The sequence below is a fragment of the Homo sapiens genome, chromosome 3 (assembly GCF_000001405.40).
Source record: "Homo sapiens chromosome 3, GRCh38.p14 Primary Assembly".
Lineage (NCBI taxonomy): Eukaryota > Metazoa > Chordata > Mammalia > Primates > Hominidae > Homo > Homo sapiens.
The window spans coordinates 14,030,908-14,057,240 of record NC_000003.12 but is presented as its reverse complement, the minus strand read 5'-3'; the positions used below and the strand labels follow the sequence as shown (position 1 = coordinate 14,057,240).

Below are 26,333 nucleotides of genomic sequence, written 5' to 3'. Positions count from 1 at the left end.
CTAACTCTGGCAATATGACAAAACAAAGCTCTTTAACACCTCCCAAAAAATCATACCTGCTCACCAGCAGTGGATCCAAACCAAGAAGAAATCCCTGACTTACCTGAAAAAGAATTGGGAGGTTAGTTATTAAGCTAATTAGGGAGGCACCAGAGAAAGGTGAAGCCCAATGCAAGGAAATTAAAAAAAAAAAGATACAAGAAGTGGGGGGGGGGACAAATATTCAAGGAAATAGATAGCATAAAGAAAAAACAATCAAAACTTCAGGAAACATTGGACCAGGAAACATTGAAACACTTACAGAAATACAAAATTCTCTGGAAAGTTTCAGCAATACAATTGAACAAGTAGAAGAAAGAAATTCAGAGCTTAAAGACAAGGTCTTTGAATTAACCCAATCCAACAAAGACAAATAAAAAAGAATAAGAAAATACGAACAAAGTCTCCAAGAAGTTTGGGATTATGTTAAGTGACCAAACCTAAGAATAATCAGTGTTCCGGAGGAAGAGGAGGAATCTGAAAGTTTGTTAAAATAGTTGGGGCAATAATGGAGGAAAACTTCCCTGGCCTTGCTAGAGACCTAGACATCCAAATACAAGAAGCACAAAGAACACCTGGGAAATTCATCGCAAAAAGATGATTGCCTAGGCATACTGTCATCAGGTTATCTAAAGTTAAGATGAAGGAGTCAGGTAGCATGATGCCTCCGGCTTTGTTCTTTTGGCTTAGGATTGACTTGGCGATGCGGGCTCTTTTTTGGTTCCATATGAACTTTAAAGTAGTTTTTTCCAATTCTGTGAAGAAAGTCATTGGTAGCTTGATGGGGATGGCACTGAACCTATAAATTACCTTGGACAGTATGGCCATTTTCACGATATTGATTCTTCCTACCCATGAGCATGGAATATTCTTCCATTTGTTTGTATCCTCTTTTATTTCATTGAGCAGTGGTTTGTAGTTCTCCTTGAAGAGGTCCTTCACATGCCTTGTAAGTTGGATTCCTAGGTATTTTATTCTCTTTGAAGTGATTGTGAATGGGAGTTCACTCATGATTTGGCTCTTTGTCTGTTATTGGTGTATAAGAATGCTTGTGATTTTCGTACATTGATTTTGTATCCTGAGACTGCTGAAGTTGCTTATCAGCTTAAGGAGATTTTGGGCTGAGACAATGGGGTTTTCTAGATATACAATCATGTCATCACAGACACTTCTCCAAAGAAGACATTTATGCAGCCAAAAAACACATGAAAAAATGCTCATCATCACTGGCCATCAGAGAAATGCAAATCAAAACCACAATGAGATACTATCTCACAACAGTTAGAATGGTGATCATTAAAAAGTCAGGAAACAACAGGTGCTGGAGAGGATGTGGAGAAATAGGAACACTTTTACACTGTTGGTGGGACTGTAAACTAATTCAACCATTGTGGAAGTCAGTGTGGCGATTCCTCAGGGATCTAGAACTAGAAATACCATTTGACCCAGCCATCCCATTACTGGGTATATACCCAAAGGATTATAAATCATGCTGCTATAAAGACACATGCACATGTATGTTTATTGTGGCACTATTCACAATAGCAAAGACTTGGAACCAACCCAAATGTCCAACAACGATAGACTGGATTAAGAAAATGTGGCACATATACACCATGGAATACTATGCATCCATAAAAAATGATGAGTTCATGTCCTTTGTAGGGACATGGATGAAACTGGAAACCATCATTCTCAGCAAACTATCGCAAGGACAAAAAACAAAACACTGCATGTTCTCACTCATTGGTAGGAATTGAACAATGAGAACACATGGACACAGGAAGGGAAACATCACACTCCGGGGACTGTTGTGGGGTGGCGGGAGCGGGGAGGGATAGCATTAGGAGATATACCTTATGCTAAATGACGAGTTAATGGGTGCAGCATACCAACATGGCACATGCATACATATGTAACAAACCTGCACATTGTGCACAGGTACCCTAAAACTTAGAGTATAATAATAAAATTAAAAAAAAAAAATCAAAAAAAAGAAAAAAAAAGATGAAGGAAAGAATCTTAAGAATTGTGAGACAAAAGCACCAGGTAACCTATAAAGGAAAACCTATCAGATTAACAGCAGATTTATCAGCAGAAACCCTTCTACAAGCTAGAAGGGATTGGGGCCCTATCTTCAGCTTCCTCAAACAAAACAATTACCAGCCAAGAATTTTGTATCCAGCAAAACTAAGCATCATATATGAAGGAAAGATACAGTCTTTTTCAGACAAATGCTGAATTTGCCACTACCAAGCCACCACTACAAGAACTGCTGAAAGGAGCTCTAAATCTCGAAACAAATCCTGGAAACACATCGAAATAGAATCTCTTTAAACCATAAATAACATAGCACCTATAAAAGGAAAATACAATTTAAAAAGCAAAAACATCAAACAAAAAAATTAAGGTACACAGGCAACAAATAGCACAATGAATGAAATGGCACCTCACATCTCAATACTAACATTGAATGTAAATTGCCAAAATGCTCCACTTAAAAGATATAGAACTGCAGAATGGATAAGAACTCACCAATCAACTATCTGCTGCCTTCAGGAGAATCACCTAACACATTAGGATTCACATAAAGTAAAGGGATGGAAAAAGGCATTTCATGCAAACGGACACCAAAAGTGAGCAGGAATAGCTATTCTTATATCAGACAAAACAAACTTTAAAGCAACAACAGTTAAAAGAGACAAAGAGGAACATTATATAATAAGAGGCCTTGTTCAACAGGAAAATATCACAATCCTAAACATATATGCACCTAACACTGGAGCTCCCAAATTTATAAAATAATTACTAATAGACCTAAGAAACGAGATAAACAGCAACACAGTAATAATGGGGGACTTCAATACTCCACTGATAGCACTAGACAGGTCATCAACACAGAAAGTCAACAAAGAAACAATGGATTTAAACCATACCTTAGAACACGTAGACTTAACAGATATATACAGGACATTTTATCCAACAACCACAGAATATACATTCTATTCATCAGCGCATGGAACTTTCTCCAACATGGAAACTTTTCTGATACATAATGATCTTAATAGAAATGTTAGCTATTGTTTTTATTGTATGGTTCCTCATATACATGGCTTGGGAAGCTAACGCAAGTCTCTGAAAGATTTCCTCAAGTATCCCTGTCTAAATGAGAGAGGAAAAACTACCATTGAAATAGCAGACTCTGTTTAACAAACTCTGGTTGTAGGTCTCTGATGAAATTTTAGTTCTCTGAATCCTCTAAAATTCATTTTACATATGTTTTATTATCATGCCACAAAAATCTAGCCTAAGTGAGTAGAGTTATCAAGTATTAGCTGGACCACATTCCAAAATTTCTTTTCTTTCCAATGTTAGGCATGTAAAAATCAAGGTGGAAAATATAAGCACAATTCAAATAGATTTGGGGTCACTCTTTTTTAGTATTTTAATTAGAAAACAGGTATCCACCCTTAACCTGAGAGAGATTCTCCACAGAAATCCAGGCTTTCATGTCTTCTTTGAGTAAGCAATGATATTTTTCCAAAGTAGGGGTCCTAACTGTAAAAATTACACTAGAGAATTTAGTAGAGACCTATTCATGGAGTATTTCCCTATGGTATGCTGGTACTTACTTTCAATGAGTTTTAATTCAAGGTGTATAGATACGGAGTACATAACATGCAAAATGGGACCAGTAACATATTGCTACAATTTTATCATCTGAAAACCTAGTGTGTAAGGCTAAATTATTTTCATAACTACTTAGAGCAGTGGGTTTTATAACTTATTAAGGAAGGGCAGAAATGCTAAGAAGCCATGAAAATTTATGTATTCTGAGCCTAGATATTTGGTCTGAAACCTATGGAAAAGTTTCATTATCTAAAATATAAATTCCATAGAGTAGCATTAGCAAAGGTTAATCTTTTCTGAATTTTTAATCAATTTAGTAAAAAAGTTCTCTCCATTCACACATTTAGAAAATTTGGATTTGCTCCCTTGATGTGCCCAGGAGAAACAACAGAAAATATTAATCTAATGTCCCAGTAGTCCCCAAGCTTCATGGGTCCCACCAATTAAGCACACAGCACTAAATGGTTTCTTGTCTTCTGTGTGCTTATAAATGGCATATACCCATTTCTGTAGCTCTATTTCATGTAAGTTATAAGATATATACAGATATCTTGATACTGGAAATGCTTTAAAAGGAACAATATTAAATATATGACATCTAAAAGATGTTTCAAAAATATAAAACAAAATAATTATGAATTTCCCTTCTATCATATCATTTCTGGAAAACACAAGCTTTATTTCAATCCAGTTTATTTCAGTTTTAAAAATAAAATACATACCATTGTAAAACTGGCTAAGTAGTAGGTTTTAATCATTTGTAAACTGAGGACACAGAACTCAGTTTGTGTCCTGCCAATACAAATGTGTACAATCCTGTCAATATAAATGTATACAGAAAAGGCAGAAGTGTTCAGGTGCCTTGAATTGCAGTAACATTTAAGAAATCATGTTTTATGTGGATCATTGCTTTAAAACCAATGGGAAATTATATTTCTCTATAAGAGAATTTCCCCAGTTAGAGCCGGAAAACTTTTTCTAGAGTATTGGAAAGTGACACATGGGATACATTCATGATCATCCACTTATGGAGTGGTGCCCATGGAATACCAGGAAAACAGAAAACTCAGCTCTAATCGTCCAGCTGTCTCCACGTTGTGCGGATCATACACAACTGAATCTGTGAAGCACACATCCCACCTCTATATGCTTTATACTTGTATGTATTATAAGAAAAGGTACATAGCTACTTCTGTGCTAATAGATCATTTTTATTAGAAAACATCCTTAAGCATGTGAATATTGCATAAACACGAGCTAAAAGAAATCCTCCCAGTGTGAATCCTCCCACTGTGCCACATCATGCTCACCACCTGACTTGCACAGCATGGTTTAGGAGATACGGGGACAGAAAAGGAACTCCTTCCATCAGCAGGATGAGCTAAGAGACTTTCTTCAAATATGGCTCTTAGGAGTGTCAGATGCTGAAACCTGGCTTGCCCGATGAGCCAAACCCCCAAAATTGCATTTGACACATGGGAGAAGGCAAGCTATTCTGAGAGACTTGAGATTCAGAAGATAATGACATAAATCACAGGAAAAATAACATGGAAGAAAATTCTGAGATAGGTCACATTTGGAGAGGCCACACTGAAGAAGACAAGAGAAAAGCTAAGTGCGCAGGTTAAGAAACAAAATATACACAGAGCAAGAAATGTCAAAGAACAATCTGAGCATTTCTTTGAAAAGTCACCATCAAAATCTCTCAAAGCAGACAGTGAAGCTGAATTTCCTTCAGAAGAAAGGTAACATAGGTAAGATTCCCTTTACTACCTTGATTAAGGAAGCAATCACTATAGATATTTTGCAACCTGTAGTTACCAAATCATGGACAATCTGTGATATATGGAATAATCAAATGGGCCACCAACTAGTGAAGAATGCTCAGGTCAATGCACCTGATCCAGTGGTCAGCAGAGCAGTGGAGAAAATAAGGAAAGGAGCAAACTCACAAGTTTGGCACTTATGCCCACGGGGGTGGACAGGTTACAGGGTGATGGAAGGGAGGGGGGGCATGTCTATCTTCACATCTGCAGCACCAGTGTAATTGTGCATATCTCTCAGGGTAGAGATGATGTGCAAATACTATGATTTACATCCAGCACTTAGCGAGGTACCTTAGATACATGAAAGAGCATACTTTGGCTTTGCATTATCATAATTGTCAACTTCATCACTGTCATCACTATCATCTTCTCAATAAATTTGAGAGATTACACCTTTGGGAGCCACAAAGGGATTATCACCATTATCATCACTTTGTTTTATTTTTTAAAGCAACTGCAACCTCATAGTCACTGTCTCTAATTTGAAATATTCTAGCCACTAGAGTACATGCTTATGTGCTGACACCATTAATTTAAATTTGAGAAGTTAGGCCCAGCACAGTGGCTTATGCCTGTAATCCCAGCACTCTGGGATTGCTTGAGCTCAGAAGTTCCAGACCAGCCCAAGCAACATGGCAAAATCCCATGTCTACTAACAATACAAAAAACTAGCCAGGTGTGGTGGAGCATGCCTGTGGTACCAGCTACTCAGGAGGCTGAGGTGGGAGGATCGCTTGAGCCCAGGAGGTTGAGGCTGCAGTAAACTGTGATGGACCACTGCACTCCAGCCTGGGCAACAAATGAGACCCTGTCTCAAATAAATAAATTAATTAATTAATTTGTGAAATTAAAACTGGGGTAAGATGTGTCTTCATGAGAAATTATTGTTAGATAGTTTGTGGGAATGTAAGGTTATACTCTCTTGATAAGCCAGTGTTTTGAATAAATAATCTAATTTCCTTCTAAATGATTTAAAATTATTTATTCCTATATATATATATTTTTAAATTACTCAAACTACAGAAGACACTTCTTAGATAATACTTTGAATTGATTTATAAAGATGAGAGAAGTAGAAGCAAGTACGTTTAGTAAAATTCTGGAGTTAAAACCTATCCCTTCCTTGATAAATAGGAATATGAAATTAGTAATATCTGGATCTAAAATAACTAGATAACATAAGAGTATGGACCTTGAGAACTGAAAAAGAAAGTAAATAAAAGTCATTTAGTTTGAGAAGTGAATGGAAACCTAAAATTGAGTATCTCTCAAGGAAAAAAATCCACCAATTTTATGAGTCACTAAAGGATTAAACATACCAAACAAAACAGAAAAGACCCCCTTGCACTACCGAGGAAACAATCCTCTGAGCTGTGGGTGATGGTTAGAGCTGGGTGGCTAATCTGAGGTCACCAAAACCTCGCTATTAGAACCAACTGGTCTCAGTCCACAGCCTGCCTAGGGCCCAGCTCACCCACTGATTCTACACCTGCAGAATAAAGAGGCATTTACGCAGATGGATGAGTAGGGGATTCAGTTCACCTGTGAAGAACCTGCATGGTTTTAAGGAAAGATATCCTTAGCTCATCCCTCTGTAGGCCTGCAATTGTAGTGTCTGTAGAAAGGTGGCAAAATTCAACTGGGGAGCATGGAACCATGGAGTCACCAGTGGAATATTTTACCTGCCTCTTAATTTTACTGTATTCCCTCCTGGATAATAGCAATCTGGAGAGAGCTGTGCTCAAAATTTTCTCCAACTTCCCTTGTCACATCTGTGTGAGGAATCAGAAGGGTCACATCATGTACACAAGACCAAGTTCTTTCCTTCTGATACCAAGATCAAATTAGTCCAAGCCCACTGCATACTTTATAATGTCTCTACTCTGGGGTGAGAAGTTTCCTAGCGCCTCCCCTGAGTTCACAGTGGCTCTGCATGTCCTCTCCCTGCAATGTGTGACAGGCACCTGCATCCTTAGGTCTGTCCTCACTTGGAGCATTTGCTTTCCAGGTCGTGCATGTTGTGATTTCCATTCTCCCATTTTCACGTTTCCAGCTCTCTCTCAGTTTAAACAAGATATTAAAATATTTCTTATGGCCATGAGTGAAGAGAGCAAATCCAGTTGGAGCTGATTTCTTTCCATTTTCTAAGAATTCCTACAGTGTCCCTAAATGTGATATAAATGTGCAGACCTGCAGGTCAACGGCCTAGACCCTGCAGAAGATGGAGCACACATCTCAAGGAGCTGAAAACTTTTCGGATTCTATGACTGAGGTACTGAGACATCCAATCCTTGAGCCCTCCAGGGCAACTAAAGGAGAAATACATCACAATGGATCACTGCAGTGTAACCAAAGGGTTCCCTGGTAGTACAGGGACCCCCAGGCTTCAAATGTGATCATTCCATGAAAGCAAAAATGTTAGACAATTTGATCTTGAACAACTCTCAACCTTCTATATTTTACTAAATTCATTTTTTTTTTTTTGAGACAGGGTCTCACTCTGTTGTGCAGGCTGGAGTGCAGTGGCACGATCTTGGCTTACTCCAAACTCTGCCTCCCAGGCTCAAGTGATCCTCTTGCCTCAGCCTCCTGAGTAGCTGAGACCACAGGAACACACCACTATGCCAACCTAATTTTTTCTGAGTTTTTGTAGAGATGGGGTCTCACTATATTACCCAGGCTGGTCTCACTGAGCTCAAGCCATCCTCCTGGCTCAGCCTCCCAAAGTGCTGGGATTACAGGCATGAGCCACTGCACACAGCCCAATTTTGCCAAATTCATTAGGAAGGGAATCAGAAAAGAGATGAAAATTTCTGTCTATTCAAACAAGTTTAAGTAGAGAAAAGGAAAATGCCCCGAAAAATGCATTATTAAGGAGCTAGCTTGGCTACATACAGACCATGGAGACTCTTGGCTCAATAAAAAGTGCCATCTGCCATCACTTGTCTGTTAGTAGCGTGAGCTGACCCAGGCCATGGCATGTGGGATCCACTGCCCAGGTCTGCTCTCACTGTCCCTGATCAGGAATAGAGTGCACTTGATCTGTGGTTGCCAAGCAGCCAAGTTTTGCCTTCCCACAGGGGTAGAGAGGCCCCATCTAGCAGACACAGCAGCCAGCTAAGTTCAGCTTTTCATCAGCCAATGATTTGGTACCACGTAATTAAATGCCACCAAAATGGATGTCAGCAAAATGTAGGATTAGGTATTTCAAAGCTATTATTCCACAGGGAAACAGTGAAAAAATTAAGCAGAAACTACCTGAAACAACTCTGTCTGAGCTCTAGAAAACAGTCAAAGATTTACAGCAACCAGGTAAATACCCAATAAAAAACAAAACCATTTTCAAAATTGTAAGAAAGTTTTGTGGCATTTTTTCTCACCTTACCCCAGCCCTTTTCTAGCATGGCAGCAGTCTTGGTCTTGAAGTGGCAAAAATCCAGATAATTTTTTTCCTTGAACCAGAGGAAGGAGAGTAGATCTTATTGCAAACCATTGTGTACATCTACTGTAAGCTGTCTGTTAGATACTTGAAACATTTATGCAAGATGTTCCTATCTGGTTTGCCCAACTTGAAACTTAGGCAGGAAATACAGTGAATGCTCATTAAAAGTGGCTAGTTAACTACAGACTTACAGAAGCCTGAGGCAAAAGGTTACAAATGGAGACACACAATATACCATACAAAAGCATGTAGCAGAAGCTATTATGTGATTCACTGGGAAATTAGGATGTTCAAAAGCAGTCAAGTATATAAGGGAATTTAGAAAGCCATAGTCATGCCCAGGCAAGATGCATGCTCAAAAAAGACTTGTGAAGACTGTAAGCTTTCACCCCAGGCTCAGGGCAAGGCTAGCTAAATGCTGAAGGATTGCCCCAGCACAGAGACAATCTGCAAAGACTGGAAGAGTTCCAAGCATTCAGGAAAATCTCTGTCAAACCACTAGATGCATATAAACTATAGGAACAGACATTATAGATAATATGTGGTAAGGAATCATCTTTGTAAACGTAGTCAGGAAAAGTCTCAAAAGTAAAGGACTACTACAGCATTTAACAATTACAAAGGGAGAAAAAAAACCCTGGGAAGTAGAAGAATCAGACTTCCCAGAGATACCACATATAATAATCAAAAGCTTAATTTTTAATTAAAAAAGCCACACAAAAACCATAGCATAACACAGCCCCTTCAAAGAAGAAACAAAAAAAGCTAAAGAACCCATCCTTGAGAAAGCTCAGAATCAGGCTTACTAGAAAAGGACTTTAAAACAACTGTCTTAACGGTGTACTAATAGCTAAGGGAGAAGATAAACAAAACTAAGAGAAATCAGAAGAAGGATATATGAACAAAATGATGCCAGAAACAATAAGTTTCTCATCAAACTTCGTTGTTCTTTCTGGTTCTGTAAATAACCCTTCCCACCTAATTGGTAACAGGAACAGCCTCTCCCTTCCCACCTACTTGGCTCTATTCAATTTCAAACAATAGCCAATCAGGTTAGTTTAGATTGTACGGTCTGACTCCAGTTACTGGGAAAGGACACAGAAACAGGAGCTGCATTAGGGATAAAAACCCCTGTCCTAGCCTACTCGGTGTGCTCTTGCGATTGCATCAGATGCAAGCAGCACCCTTCCGCAGAAGTAAAGTTGCCTTGCTGAAGAATTTTTGGTCTAAGTGCTGGCTCTTCTTTGTGGACCAAACACCTGTCTCCAACAATCTGGGGGCTTGTCTGGGATTCCATTATCCTCCAGGGAAGGGTCTCCGATCATCTCTCATGAGGAGACACATCCTGCTGCCTTGTCACAGTTGCCTCAGGAGTAAGGGATCGAGACCCATCTGGCATGACGAATAAACCCGGACTCTCAGCAATGCAGAGAAAGAAAAAGTCTACAAATAAATACAGTGGCAACCAGGTAACTCTGAGCACAGACCAAGGTAAGAGAATCTGTGGGGGCGGTGAAATATTTCCTTGGTGGTCGGGACATCCTGGAGGTGAAAGTGTGTAAATGAGATGAACAATTAAGTGTGAAGTGAGTGTAGAGTCCAGATCCATGGTTCCGTGGTCACCTCATACGGCTTAAGGTGGCCTTCCTGTCATGGGGTTTATACTGACCCATCAATACTAAGAGGGATCTAAATTCCATGAGGGAAGCAGCTGGAGAAGGATGAAGTGAAAGCAAAGGAGTGCAAGAAACCTCCAGTAGCGGGGGTTGAGCTCTAGAGAAAGGGTACAAGAAATCTGTATTAGGAGAGGTTGAGCTCCGCTGACTCAGGGAACCTCAAGAAACACCTAAAACTTCCAGGATGGGAAATACCACCAGCAAGATAGAAAATAAAAAGGACAAGACAGACAATAAAGTTCCCTCTAATAGCCCCTGAGGTCTCATGTTAAACTACTGGAGGAATAATGAAAGGACCAAACACAAGAAAAAGCAACAAATAATAAAATATTGTTTTATTTGGACCCAAGAACCTATCCTCAAACCCTCAGTTTTTTGGCCAAAGTTGGGTCCAATGAGGATTGGATTTGTCAACTTTTAATAGAATATGTCAATAACAAAAGTCCTGTCTCCCAGGAGGAAACAGACTATGCCCTGTGTTGGCGGCAAGGGCTTGTCCTCCTCTATCCCCTAAAAGCTACAGGAGACAAGCCAGAAACTACTTCCCCTCAGGAAATTAAGATCCCTAACCCCAAAAAAGTCCACTAACAAGTGGGACCCTTTAGACCACCTTTCCCACTAAGCACCTCTAACTTCCCTCCCCCTCAAGCAAATGCAGCTACCCCAAGCCCTTCCCCTTCTCATGTTGTTTCCTCCCCTCCTTATAATCCTGACTCTTGGGGCCATCCCCAGCCTAAATGCCCGCCCCCAGGAAGACTTCAACGTGAGATAGAACAATGTAAAAAAGATATCCAAAACTTCCTTTTCCCCACTACCTTGAGAGAATCTGCTCCAACACTCTTTCCCTTCAGGGAAGTGCCTCTAGAAGGAAGGGGCATTGGCTTTGTAAATGCCCCCTTAACCAGCTCAGAAGTCTGAAACCTAAAAAGAGAGCTCAAACCACTCTTAGATGATCCCTATGGAGTAGCAGATCAAATTGATCAATTCCTAGGACCCCAGTTGTATACTTAGGCTGAATTAATGTCCATTCTAGGCACCCTCTTTTTGGGAGAGGAAAGAAGCATGATCTGCAGGGCCACTATGATGGTTTGGGAATGTGAGCACCTCCCCTGACCCCGCCCCCAGTCAAAACATCCCAGCAGCTGAACAAAAGTTCTCTGCCCAAGATCCTCAATGGGATAACAACAATATAGCCCATCAAGGAAATATGAGAGATCTCAGAGATATGGTAATTAGAGGGATTCGGGAATCAGTTCCTCAAACTAAAAATATTACCAAAGCCTTTAATATACAACAGGGAAAAGATGAAGGACCTATGGAATTCTTAGAGAGGCTTAAGGAGCAAATGAAGAAATATGCTGGCCTAGAATTAGAAGAACCCCTTGGATAAGGGATGTTAAAGCTCCATTTGGTCGCCAATAGTTGGACGGACATTATTTAAAAAAACTACAAAATTAGAGAACTGGAAAGATTGACCTACAGAGGAACTTTTAAGGGAGGCTCAAAAAGCATATGTATGAAGGGATGAAAAAAAAGCAGAAACAAAAGGCAAAAATCATGCTGTCCATCCTACAACAAAGCACCCAAGGGGCCAAAACCTGTAAAGAACTTAAGCTTCCACTCACCAGGCCACATAAAGGGTACAAAAGAGCAAAGCCAGGGAACTCAAAATTACTGAAAGAGGGCCAAATAAATGTTCCAAATGTGGGAGAATAGGACACTTCAAAAGAGAATGGCCCAAATGGGAAAAGGAAAATAAAGTCATCCTACTTAAGGCCTTTGAGGAAGACTGGGGGATCAGGGGCACTGTCTCTTATTTCGAGTCCTACCCAGAGCCCTTGATAAATATAGAGGTGGGGCCCAAACCTGAGCTTATAACTTTTTTAATTGACTCAGGGGCAGCTGACTCCTCTGTTTGTCATCCCCCATTCTGGTGTAATTTGTTCACAAGAACTTATCTCAGGAGTAAAAGGAGAAAAATCTAAAGCAAAAATCTTAAAAGAAACAGAGGTCAAATATAAGAACCACTCAGCTAATACTAAATTTCTGTTAATTCCAGAGGCAGGAACAAACTTATTAGGGAGACATTTAATGCTAAAATTAGGCTTAGGCCTCTATATTAATCAAGGAAAATTTCTCACCTCCCTAAATTTACTCACCACTATAGATGAAAAACATATTCATCCTGACATATGGTCAAAAGAAGGAAATTAAGGAAAGCTATGGGTTCCTCCAATCCATGTCAAATTAAAAACTCCCAAAGAAGTAGTAAAAAGAAAACAATACCCTATTCCCTTAAAAGCCAGGATAGGTTTAAAACCCATAATTGAAAGCCTTCTCCATGACGAATTCCTTGAACCCTGTATGTCCCCTTATAACACTCCAATACTGCCTGTATAGCAGCCAGATGGGTCATACCAGTTAGTGCAAGACCTCTGGGCTATTAATCAAATAGTTCAAACCACCCACCCTATTGTTCCTAATCCGTACACTATTATTGGTAGAAGTCCACATAACCACCAATGGTTCACAGTAATAGATTTAAAAGATGCCTTTGAGCTTGTCCGTTAGCAGAGGACAACTGGGACATGTTTGCCTTTGAATGGGAAGACCCCTACTCCAGTCAAAAACAACAATACCGACGGACAGTTTTACCCCCAGGGTTTACAGGATCACCAAACTTATTTGGTCAAATTCTACAGCAAGTGATAAAAAACTTTTCCCTGCCCTCATCCATATGCCTACTCCAATACATGGATGACCTGCTTATTTCAGGAGAGAACAAAGATTGAGTAACATTTTCAATCAGCTTCCTAAATCATCTAAGAGAACAAGGGTTACCAGTCTCAAAGAGTAAACTCCAATTTGTAGAACCTGAAGTAAAGTACCTAGGGCACTTAAGCAAAGGCAAACAGAAAATAGGGTTTGAATGGATTGAGGGTATCATATCCCTACCTCTACCAGAAATGAAACAAGAACTTAGAAAATGTGGGAGATTGGTTGGATACTGTCACCTATGGATTGACTCATATGCCTTAGAGACAAAACCTTTATACCAAAAACTCACCCAAGAAGAGCCAGACTCCCTTCTATGGACCTTATCAGAAATACAAGTAGAAAAATTAACACATTTATTAGTAACTGTCCTGGTTCTAGCTTTAGCCGCCCTAGAACTGCCATTTCATATTTTTGTCAATGTAAACAAATGAGTAGCCTTAGGGGTACTCACCCAAAAACACAGGGGTCACCAGCAGCCCATAGCCTTTCTGTCAAAAGTTATTGACCCAGTAATGGATGGCCTGAATGTGTTCAATCCATAGCACCAACTGCCTTGCTAACAGAGGAAAGCAGAAAAAATAACCTTCGGAGGAAACTTCATCGTGAGTACTCCTAACCAAGTCAGAACTATTCTTAACCAAAAGGTAGGAAGATGGCTTACTGACTCAAGAATTTTATAGTATGAGGCTATCTTATTAGAAAAGGATGATTTAACTTTAGTGACAATTCACTTAACCCCACTGCCTTCCTAACAGGGAATCCAAACCCAGAGAACCCGGAGCACAAATGTTTAGAACCAATCAGTTATCAAACAAAAATTAGGTGAAACTCCTTTCCAAACAGGGAGGCATCTTTTCATAAATGGTCCTTCTTGGGTAGTTGAAGGAAAGAGGCATAACGGGTACTCAGTAGTTGATGGGAAAACTCTGGCAGAAACAGAATCAGGAAGATTGCCAAATGACTGGTCTGCTCAAACATGTGAGCTATTTGTACTAAATCAGGCTTTAAAATGTCTACAAAACCAAGAAGGAACTATCTACACTGACTCCAAATATGCCTTTGGAGTAGTCAATACCTTTAGAAAAATCTGGACTGAACGGGGTGTTATTAACAGTAAGGGCCAAAACCTGGTCCACAAAGAGTTAATAATACAAGTATTGGATAATCTACAGCTGCCAGAAGAGATAGCTGTTGTTCATGTCCCAGGACATCAAAGGAATCTATCTTTTGAAAGCCGGGGGAATAACCTTGCAGATTAAATAGCTAAGCAAGCTGCTTCTTCCCAGAAGGCACCCATTTTCCATCTAACCTCCCGTCTTCCCCCTCCAGCTGCAATCCCCATCTTTTCCCCTGCAGACCAAGAAAAACCAAAAAAATTAGGAGCTGAGGAAAGCCCAGAGGGAAAGTGGGTATTACCAGATGGAAGGGAAATGTTGTATAAACCTCTCATGAGGGAAATGCTGTCACAACTTCACCAAGGAACCCACTGGGGTCCCCACGCTCTGTGTGACACAGTCCTTAGGGTTTATGGGTATATGGGGATCTAGACCCCTGCTAAGCAAGTTACAGATAGTTGCATAGTGTGCAGAGAAACTAATAAGCAAACCTTAAAGAAGCAACATTTTGGAGGAAGAAATCCAGGGCTAAGGCCATTCCAAAGTATCCAAGTGGACTATACTGAAATGCTCCTAATAGGTCACCTCAAATATTTATTAGTAATAGTAGACTATCTTACCCACTGGGTAGAAGCCATCCCCTTCCCAAGTGCAATAGCCAGTAATGTAGTTAAAGCTCTGTTGGAAAATATCATACCCAGGTTTGGAATAATAGAGAATATTGATTCAGACAACAGGACCCACATTACTACACTCATAATTAAAAGGCTAACCCAAGCACTAGAAATAAAGTGGGAATATCATACTCCCTTGGCATCCACCTTCATCAGGAAGGGTAGAAATAATGAACCAGACCCTGAAAAAAAAAAAAAAAACCACCTCACCAAATTAATCTTGGAAACCTGGTTACTATGGACAAAATGCCTTCCCACTGCCTTACTAAGAATCCGAACTATCCCTCAAAAAGACCTTGGCCTGTCCTCTTATGAAATGCTCTACGGGCTGCCTTACCTAAATTCCACAACTGACCTTCCTACATTTGAAACAAAAGATCAATTTCTTAAAAACTATATATTTTGTCTGTCTTCCACCCTTTCCTCCCTCAGGACTCAAGGCCTCCTAGCACAAACTCCACCCCTTGAATTCCCAGTTCACCAACACCAACCCAGAGATCACGTCCTTATCAAAAGCTGGAAATAGGGAAAGCTCGAACCCACCTGGGAAGGACCTTATTTGGTGCTCCTAATGACTGAGACGGCAGTCCAGACCGCTGAAAAGTGGTGGACCCATTATACCAGAGTCAAAAAAGCATTGCCCTCTCCAGAATCATGGACTGTCACTCCAGGAACAACAGCCTCAAAATCAACATTCAAGTGGGTTTAATCTATCTTTTTCTTCTCTCCTTAGCTACTCAAGGATATCTTATTATCAGTGTAACTCAATCACCCTTTCCCCAAACAGTTACATTTGATGCTTGTCTAGTCTTACCTTGTGGAGATCTTCAAAGTCAAAGGCAGCTAGCCTCTGCAGAAAAATACCCCTGTCCCTCCAAGGAAAACACTACTACTACTGTGTCTTGTGTGTGGTGGGAATCTTCAGAGGAAGAGTCAGGTAATTGGGAGTTATGTTCACAGTGGGCAGACGTTCTATGGACTACTAAAAATCAGGGTTGGACCTCCTGACAGGGTTGCACTGCCCTAAAGCCACACCTACACTTCACCAAAGGGACTACCCCCTCTAATTGCCAATCTAACCATTGCAACCCAGTACTTATCTCTATTAATACCCTTACCTTCACCATTCCCACACCCACTGTAGAGCGATTTTATGGCTAAGGGGCAGATGTTGCTGGAAGGGACCCTATAGGCTTCTTTAAATTATGCTTTGTTCCTTCCCCTTCGTCTCCCACCCCCTCCTCGATCCCACAAATTCAAACCATTTCCCACCTCATACCCAACGACAAAACCAAAGTATCGTAATAGAAATCAAAAATTTAAAGCAAACTTTAGCCATTGAAATAGGGTACCAAGATGCAAATGCCTGGCTGGAATGGATTAAATATTCTGTCCACACACTACACAAAAGCGATTTTTATGCTTGTGCGACAGGCAGGCCAGAAACCCAAATTGTCCCCTTTCCTCTGACCAACCGGGCATGGACTGTATGTATGGTAGCCCTCTTCCAAAACCCCACAGCCTGGGGCAATAAGGCATGTCTAACCCTCTCCCTACTATTCCCAGAAGTTAAAAGCCCTGCAGGTCTGCCCCTGAGGGCCATTCGGACTCCGGCTACAAATGTCAATTTCACCTCGTGTCTCTCATGGCATGGGGAAAACTTGGCATTCCTTAGGAGCTTAACAGGGTGCAGCACACCTAAGCCTTTTCAAGAGCTAACCAATCAGTCTGCCCTTGTTCATCCCTAAGCAGATGTATGGTGGTATTGCGGTGGACCACTATTGGGTACTCTGCCAAGTAACTGGAGCAGCACTTGTGCTCTAATCAAATTGGCCATCCCTTTCACCCTGGAATTTCATCAACCAAACAAAAAGGACAACTACAGAAAAAGAAGTGTCCCCCATGGGTCTTTTGACCCTCATGTTTATATAGATGCTATCGGAGTTCCCCGAGGGGTGCCCAGTGAATTTAAAGCCTGAAATCAAATTACCACAGGATTTGAATCTGTATTATTCTGGTGGTCAACTACAAACAAACATGTAGACTGGATAAATTACATTTACTATAATCGACAGCGGTTTGTCAATTACACAAGCGATGCCATTAAAGGAATAGCTGAGAAATTAGGCCCCACCAGCCAAATGGCTTGGGGAAACAGGATAGCCCTTGACATGTTATTGGCTGAAAAAGGCAGAGTCTGTGTCATGATTGGAGTCCAATGTTGCACTTTTATCCCTATTAACACAGCCCCTAATGGAACAATTACAAAAGCATTACAGGGCCTTACAAGTGAATTAGCTGAAAATCCCGGAATAAATGGCCCCTTTTCAGGTCTTATGGAAAAATGGTTTGGAAAATGGAAATGACTCATGACCTCAATATTTACTTCTCTTGCAGTTGTTACAGGTGTACTCATTCTTGTAGGTTGCTGTATTACACCTTCTGTTCATGGGTTGGTGCAAAGGCTTACAGAAACAGCTCTTACTAAAACCTCCCTCAATTCTTCCCCACCCTATTCAGATAAACTCCCACTTCTAGATCACCAAGAGGAACAACAGAGCCAAATTATGTTTGAAAAATTTGAAGAGGAAAAACTATAAAGAGGGGGGATATTGCCAGAAACAATAAGTTCCTCTTCAAACTTCGTTGTTCTTTCTGGTTCTGTAAACAACCCTTCCCACCTAATTGGTAACAGGAACAGCCTCTCCCTTCCTGCCTAATAGGCCCTATTCAATTTCAAACAATAGCCAATCGGGTTTAGATTGTGTGGTCCAACTCTAGTTACTGGGGAAAGGACACAGAAACATGAGCTGCATTAGGGGTAAAAACCCCTGCCCTAGCCCCCTTGGTGTGCTCTTGCAATTGCTTCAGATGCAAGTAGCACCCTTCTGCAGAAGTAAAGTTGTCTTGCTGAGGAATTTTCAGTCTAAGTGCTAGTTCTTCTTTGTGGCACCCAACACCTGTTCCCAACAATGAGAATATCAACAAATAGAAAATATAACAAAGAACCAAACAGAAATGAAGATAAAGATACAATAATGAAAATTAAAAATTCACTGGAAGTGTTTGACATATTATTTGATTCCATTCTTCCTAAATATGATTTCAATCTTCTTAAATGTATTCAGTCCTGTTTTGTGACCTATCCTGGAAATATGTGATGTGATCTATCCTGGAGAATGTTCTGTGTGCACTTGAGAAGATTACATATTTTTCTTTTGTTAATTGAAAAATTCTGTATATGGCTATTACATCAATTTAAAGTCCACTATTTTGTTATTGATTTTCTATCTGGATTTTCTATTTTTTATTGAAAGTGGGGTACTGAATTATTCTACCATTACACTATTGCTGTCCATTTCTCCTTTCAGATATTTTGATATTTGTTCTATATACTTAGGTAGTCTAATAGTAGGTACATATGTATTTACAATTGCTGTTATCTTCCTGTTGAATTCACCCTTTTATCATTATGTAATGACTTTGTCTCCTGGGACAGTTTTTGACTTAAATTCTAATTTGTGCTATATAAGAATGGCCACTACTGCTTTCTTTTGAGGGCTATTTACATGGGATATCTGTTTTCAACCCTTCACTGTCAGCCTGCGTCCAGAATTGGTGGGTTCTTGGTCTCACTGACTTCAAGAATGAAGCTGCGGACCCTCACGGTGAGTGTTACAGTTCTTAAAGATGGTGTGTCCGGAGTTTGTTCCTGCTGATGTTCGGTCGTGTTCAGAGTTTCTTCCTTCTGGTGGGTTCGTGGTCTCACTGGCTTCAGGAGTGAAGCTGCAGACCTTCACGAGTGTTACAGCTCTTAAGGCGGCACGTCTGGAGTTGTTCATTCCTCCCAGTGGGTTCGTGGTCTCACTGGCTTCAGGAGTGAAGCTGCAGACCTTTGCGGTGTTACAGCTCATAAAGGTGGCGTGGACCCAAAGAGTGAGCAGCTGCAAGATTTATTGTGAAGAGCAAAAGATCAAGGCTTCCACAGCGTTGAAGGGGACCCGAACACGTTGCCACTGCTCGCTGGGGCAGCCTGCTTTTATTCCCTTATCTGACCCCACCCACATCCTGCTGATTGGTCCATTTTACAGAGAGCTGATTGGCCCATTTTACAGAGAGCTGATCGGGCCATTTTACAGAGAGCTGATTGGTCTGTTTTGACAGAGAGCTGATTGGTGCATTTACAATCCCTGAGCTAGACACAGAGTGCTGATTGGTACATTTACAATCCTTTAGCTAGACACAAAGTTCTCCAAGTCCCCACTAGATTAGCTAGACACAGAGCACTGATTGGTGCATTTACAAACCTTGAGCTAGACACAAAGTGCTGATTGGTGCATTTACAATCCTTTAGCTAGGCATTAAAAGTTCTCCAAGTCCCCACCCAACTCAGGAGCCCAGCTGGCTTTGCCTAGTGGATCCCGTGCCGGGGCCGCGGGTGGAGCTGCCTGCCAGTCCCATGCCATGCGCCTGCACTCCTCAGCCCTTGGGCAGTTGATGGGACTGGGCACTGCAGAGCAGGGGGCGGTGCCCGTTGGGGAGGCTCGGGCCGTGTGGGAGCCCATGGGGGCAGTGGGCTGGGGGAGGCTCAAATATGGCAGGCTGCAGGTCCCAAGCTGCGCTCTGCGGGGAGGCAGCTGGGGCCCGGTGAGAATTCAAGTGTGGTGCAGGCGGGCCGGCACTGCTGGGGGACCCGGCACACCCTCTGCGGCTGCTGGCCCAGGTGCTAAGCCCCTCATTGCCTGGGGCTGGTGGCGCTAGCCGGCCACTCTGAGTGCAGGGCCTGCCGAGCTCGTGCCCACCTGGAACTCGCGCTGGCCCACGAGCGCCGTGTGCAGCCCCACTTCCCGCCCGCGCCTCTCCCTCCACACCTCCCCACAAGCAGAGGGAGCCGGCTCTGGCCTCAGCCAGCCCAGAGAGGGGCTCCCACAGTGAAGCTGCGGGCTGAATGGCTCCTCAAGCATGGCTAGAGTGGACGCCGAGGCCGAGGAGGTGCTGAGAGTGAGTGAGGGCTGCTAGCACGTTGTCACCTCTCAAGCCTATGTGTGTCCTTGAATCTAGTATTTACTATTGCCGTTTTGTTAACTATTTTTTGTTTGTCTTGTAGTTCCTTTGACTCTCTGTTTCTCTCTTGCTGTCTTCCCCAGTGTTTTGGTCTTTTTATATTTGATGCAGAAAATTAAAGAAAGGAAAATAAAATTAAAAGAGAAAAGCAAGTTTTCCTGTTTTAGGCTGTCTCATCCCAAAAAGCAGTAACAGACACAGCCCAGGCCCAGGCAAGGTCCTGATAACACAATCTAAGAAGTCAAGACCCAAAAGGAATGTGCTCTGGAGACTCTCCCAGCACTCCCCAACATAAGGATAAGAAAAACAAATTCCTCTTTTAGCCCTTTACCCCTTCTCCATAAATATTTTGCAAGTTTTCTAAGTTCCTGTTTCTCCTTTGATGCAGCTGCAAAGTCACAAGCTATGCTAGAGATTATGAGACCTGTCACTGTTTAATTAACTGTCTTTGTTCTGCTTCTGTAAGCTTGCTTATAAAAATCAAGCCCTGTCTTTGTTCCAGGCTCAGTTTTTTGGATGTGAAAAAACCTGGATCCACTGAGCTGGTGTACACCTTAATAAAAGTCCTCCTGTAACACCTATTTAGTCTCTCAGGTCCTCTAATTCCTGCAACATATTGATAAGTTTTTATTCCTTCTCTTTTCTTCCTGTGTAACTTTTATAAGTATTTTCTTCATGGTTACCAAAGGTAACAGTAAATCATTCTTCACCAGTAATTACATTAAATGTTAATGGACTAAGCTCCCTAATAAAAAGATACAGAATGGCTTAATGGATTTTTTAAAAAGCATGATCCAACTATACATTTGTCTACAAGAGACTCTATTTATTTATTTATTTATTTATTTATTTATTTAGAGACGGTCTCACTTTGTTGCCCAGGCGAAAGTGCAGTTACATGATCATGGCTCACTGTAGCCTTGAATTCCTGGGCTCAAGTGATCCTCCTGCCTTGGCCTCCCAAAGTTCTGGGATTATAGGCATGAGCCACCATGCCCAGCCAAGAAACTCACTTTAGATTCAAAGACACGTAAACTGACAGTGAAGCAAATGGTAACAAAAAGAAAGCAGGAGTGGCTAGTCTTATGTCAGACAAAATAGACTGTAAGCCAAAAACTGCCTCTAGAGAAAAAAATCATTATATTATGACAAAAGGATCAATTCAACAATTTACAGCTGTAAAAGCCTGCATTACGAGGTAATGGTCCAGAATTTCCCTGGGAAATGTTCCCAGAGGCATCCAACAGCCTCTCTGCCACTGCCACTTGGTATGGGGAAGCAACAAAGAGCCTCAGGGCTACACCTGACCTTACAGCACACCACAGTCACCATAGAGAGAGGAGACCAGTCTCTCCTCCTATTGAGTCTTTGACCCCATGCTCTCCAACAAGCAGAATCCTAAGCACATGCCAGCAGTGCAGCTGCACCACCCCACTGGCTGAATACTCTCAGTAACAGTGACTCCACATTTCTTGGAGGTGGAGCCGCCAGAGGCAACCAACAGCCTTTCTGCCACTGCTTCTGCAGTATTACCCCTGCTACCCCTGGACTAAAGAAGGAACAAAGACCCAAAGTGCCTTATTCACATCTCCAACAAGCTGCAGTCCACCCAAGGAGAGGAGGCCAGTCCATTTCCCATGGGATCCCCCTACAGCTCATCACCAGACAGGGAACCCCCAGCCTGGGCCCACAGCACAGATCCCTGATCCTAGGCTGATTGCTAACCTGGATCTCTCTGGTGTGGGGACCCAGGAGACAAGCAAAAGACCCTTGGCCACTACTAAGGTCCCTTGCTCTGCCGCCTCCAGGTTGGGGAAGAAACATAAAACCTGAGATCACCCCAGAGCTGTGGTGGGCAGCCTGGGAGTGCAAAGCCACAATCTATACCCAGCACTCAAGTGGGAGAGGAGCCCACACTTTCAGAGCATTGAGAGGGAGCATGGCTGCAACCATAAGGAAATATAGGGGAGGGATATGATTGAGCAGAAGCCTAAACCTACTGGATCACACCCCAAAGCTTCAACACCAAAATACCTCACTGACATACCACACTATGAAACGAAAGACAAAAAGTCAGCTACAAATAAAGATCCTATACAATGCCTCAGCTCTGTGAAAACATCCAGAATAGAAGTTTATTGAGTGTACTCAATCAACACTTCATTCAAAGGAACACCCACATACAGGGATGGGAAAGAACCAATTCAAGAACCCCAGCAACTCCAATGGCCAGAGTGTCTTATGTCCTCCAAAGAACCACCCAAGTTCTTCAACAAGGGTTCTTAATTAGGCTAAGCTCACGGAAATGACAGAAAAAGAATTCAGAATATGGATAGGAATGAAGATTGAGATGCAGAAGAATGGCAAACCAAATCCAAAGAAACTAAGAATCACAACAAAAGGATACAGGAGCTGACAGATAAAATAACCAGTAGAAAAAAGAACCTAACTGATCTGATAGAGCTGAAAAACACACTACAAGAATTCCACAATGCAATCACAAGTATTAACGGCAGAATAGACCAAGCTGAGGAAAGAATCTCAAAACTCAAAGACTGGCTCTCTCTGAAATAAGATAGTCAGACAAAAATAAAAAAACGGAATTAACTAAACCTCTGAGAAATATGGAATTATTTAAAGAGAACAGATCTGTAAATCACTGGCATCCCTGAAAGGGACAAAAAGAAAACAACAACTTGGAAAACGTATTTCAGAATATCGTCCATGAAAACTTCCCAACCTTGCTAGAGAGGCCAACAGTCAAATTCAGGAAATAAAGAAAACCCCTGCAAGATTTTTACACAAGAAGATCACCCCCAAGACACATAGTCATCATATTTTCCAAGGTGAAAAAGAAAGAATGTTAAAGGCAGCTAGAGAGAAAGGGTAGGTCATCTGCAAAGGGAACTCCATCAGGCTAACAGTGGACCTCTCAGCTGAAACCCTAAAAGCCAGAGGAGAATGGGGGCCTATATTCAACATTATTTAAAAAAAAATCTTCAACCAAGAATTTCATATCCAGACAAACTAAGCTTCCTCAGCAAAGAAGAAAGATCCTTTTCATATAAGCAAATGCTGAGGGAGTTCATTACTACCCAGCCAGCCTTACAAGAGATCTTGAAAGGAGCACTAAATATATAAAGGAAGGACTGTTACCAGCTAATACAAAAACACACTTAAACACACAAACCAGTGACACAATAAAGCAACCACACAAACAAGCCAGCATAATAACCAGCTAGTAACACAATGACAGGATCAAATCCACACATATCAATACTAACCTTAAATGTAAATGAGCTAAATGCCCCATTTAACAGGCACAGACTGACAAGCTGGATAAAGAAGCAAGACCCAATGGTATGCTTTCTTCAAGACCCATCTCACACACAGTGACACCCATAGGCTCAAAATAAAGAATTAGGGGAAAGTCTACCAAGCAAATGGAAACAGAAAAAAAGCAGGGTTTGCAACCCTAATTTCAGACAAAACAGACTTTAAACAAGGATTAAAAAAAAGGACAAGGTCATTACATAATAATTCAGCAAGACCTAACTGTCCTAAATATATATGCACCTGTGAAAGGAAAATGAATCTTGGGGCCCCAAAATCACTAAGCTAAAGTGAAAAATCAAACTGGGAACTGCTTAGGGCAAAACTGCCTCCCATTTTATTCAAAGTCACCCCTCTGCTCACTGAGATAAATGCATATCTGATTGCTGCATTTGGGGAGGCTATTCAGAAACTCAGAAGAATGCAACCATTTGCCTCTTATCTACCTATGACCTGGAAGGCCCCTTCCTGCCTCAAGTTGTCCTGACTTTGCCTCGAGTTGTCCCACCTTTCAGGACTAAACCAATGTATATCTTACACATCTTGATTGATGTCTCATGTCTACCTAAAATGTATAAAACCAAGCTGTGCCCCTACCACCTTGGGCACATGTCATCAGAACCTCCTGAGGCTGTGTCATGGGCATGCATCCCCAACCTTGGCAAAATAAACTGTCTAAATTAACTGAGACCTGTCTCAGATTTTTGAGGTTCACATTTTGGCAATCACAAAGAAATTCTCAGTGGAGGTACCTCTGCCTTTGACAAATCTCCTATTGGTGCTTGGTACTAGCATAAACCAACTTTATGGCTCAAACCTATAGGAGAATTTGCTGAGGACTGGAAGCACCCCCTCCAGAGAATCCCTGATCTCCCAAAATTTGGTCGAGACCTAAAGTTTATTTTGCTGTATGACTCCTTTTTCTTTTCTTTTCTTTTTTTTTTTTTTTTTTGGCGTTTTACTTGCTTCCAACAGGGAAAGCAAGATTTCCTGTTTTCATGATGATGGTAGGTAGGTAACTCCTTTATGGAGTTTGAGCTCGCTCCAAGCAGGGAAAATGTGTTCTAGGTTTTTCTTTTCCTGCTTCTAGGGTAGTAGAAAGCCATCTTCAGCCTGAGACCCACGCTTAGGTAAGTAGCTGAATGGGGGTTTTGTCTTGGCTAAAGTATACAACCAGCTGGTGTTAATTTCTCTTTACCATTAGAGCACTCAGGAATCATATTGTTGGGGATTTTTGTTGTTGTTGTTGTTGTTTGTTCCAGTCTTTCTCCCATCAGATTTGACCAACTATATATCTATAATTATGGGTGACAAAGCCTCTCTAATTTGGCTAAAATTCCTCAAAAGCAGCAAAAGAGGGGGAAAACAGAACAAAAAAAAATGTGCTTCATTTGTGTTTTCTGTCTTTAAAAAAATGTTTACTTTTCTTCCATCCTATACCTCCTTCCACCTTTGCCATCTGTAGTACCCCAAAATCTAGAGAAGGCTTCTAATGACTTGAACCCCTTTAAAGAATCCAGAACGAAGGCACCATTCATCCCTTTTGGGGTGTTCTTTTTTCTTTGTGGAGTTTCAAGAGTCATGGGCAGATTCTTCTTAGGTCTAAAGCTCTGTTTTTCTGTATTGCATAACCTGACCTCTTTGGCTTTGTTGGTAGCAGAGATTACCTTGTACTGTGAGAGGATTTGACCATGGCGTGTGTAATGGCAGATGAGAGCTACAAAGTAGGGGTGGCTGAACACAGTTTACAGCAAGTGGTCTTGGCTGTTGTTCTTTTTTTCTCTCCTACAAAGTTATTTAAGGATCCTAATTGTAGTTCTGAGATGCATTCTAAGGTGTCTTCTCTATTGCTTTTTCTCCCAAAATTAATCTTGATTTGGCTCATCTGTGCAGATTTGTTTGAGAAACTGAACTGTTGTTTTCATAGGTAAATGAGAGACTGAGTTTTCTTAGCTCTGAAGAGAAAGGTCATTTTGCTCCTTCCACCCAAAAAGCACCCCTAGGTGACTGGGGTCTCGTGGGAGTGTCTCTGGGGGTTGACCAACCACAATGTGCAGTGGTCCCACAGGGAAATCCCCAACAAAAATTAGTTTTTTAAAAAGGTCTCGTCCAGGAAATGCATATAAGGTCTGATCACCCAGTGTTTGAGCCGTCTCAGAGGTCATAGGCCTCTGAAGAGAGAACATGAGACACATAAGATGGTGGAAATGACTCACTGTGGACACACTATGGAGTCCTGCCCACAAGCAGAACACATTGATCCACCACACAAAAACACTAGGCCAAAGCTCAGTACCTCCTTTTAAGAAAAAAATGTGGAAAACAAATAATCTAAGAATAAGGAGAATGACACCCTTTCAAGGACTCTGCAGGTTTTATGGCACATCTACTTGCTAGAGTTTATGTAAAATGGAAGTAAAATGGTCTTTGCACACATTTATATTAAGGAAAAAGAGCCTTAAGGTCGAACTGCAAACTATAAAGTTCTTAAGTTCTCTTTTTCTTTCTTCTCTGCCTGCTTTAAATCTGCTGTTATTTTTCTATTAAGATAAAAACCACTGTTTGAATCCAACAGGTTCTTTTTGCAAGGTGGTGAATTTGTATTTATCTCATGGCTAAAGTTCTGAAATAAAAGCTATAGGATCTTGGGTGTGTGTGTGTGTGTATTTAAATAGCCTTTATAATTTCTATCATTTTATGTTTAATTGGCAATTAAATCCATTTTAATTTCCCTCTAGCATACCAGACTTTTTCTC

General features: G+C 41.2%; 1 long non-coding RNA gene and 1 pseudogene across 2 annotated transcripts in view, besides 1 other annotated feature; one reads left to right on the top strand and one right to left on the bottom strand.

Annotated features, from left to right (window-relative positions):
- TPRXL (tetrapeptide repeat homeobox like (pseudogene)) overlaps positions 1-26,333 on the bottom strand; it is a 128,678-nt pseudogene that overhangs the window by 8,744 nt on the left and 93,601 nt on the right. The gene's annotated exons all lie outside the window — the stretch shown is intronic.
- Positions 9,518-9,687: an enhancer, noted in NCBI's record as "experimental_64840 CRE fragment used in MPRA reporter constructs". NCBI's record gives its function as "activates a minimal promoter by MPRAs in K562 erythroleukemia cells, with activity observed for both the introgressed and non-introgressed 3:14089139 variant alleles {active_cell/tissue: K562}" and the evidence as "EXISTENCE:reporter gene assay evidence [ECO:0000049][PMID:34662402]".
- On the top strand, positions 10,088-20,825 carry LOC112268445 (uncharacterized). The gene is made up of 2 exons (NR_173398.1): positions 10,088-10,428; positions 15,613-20,825. It is a non-coding gene; the product is annotated as an uncharacterized LOC112268445 (long non-coding RNA).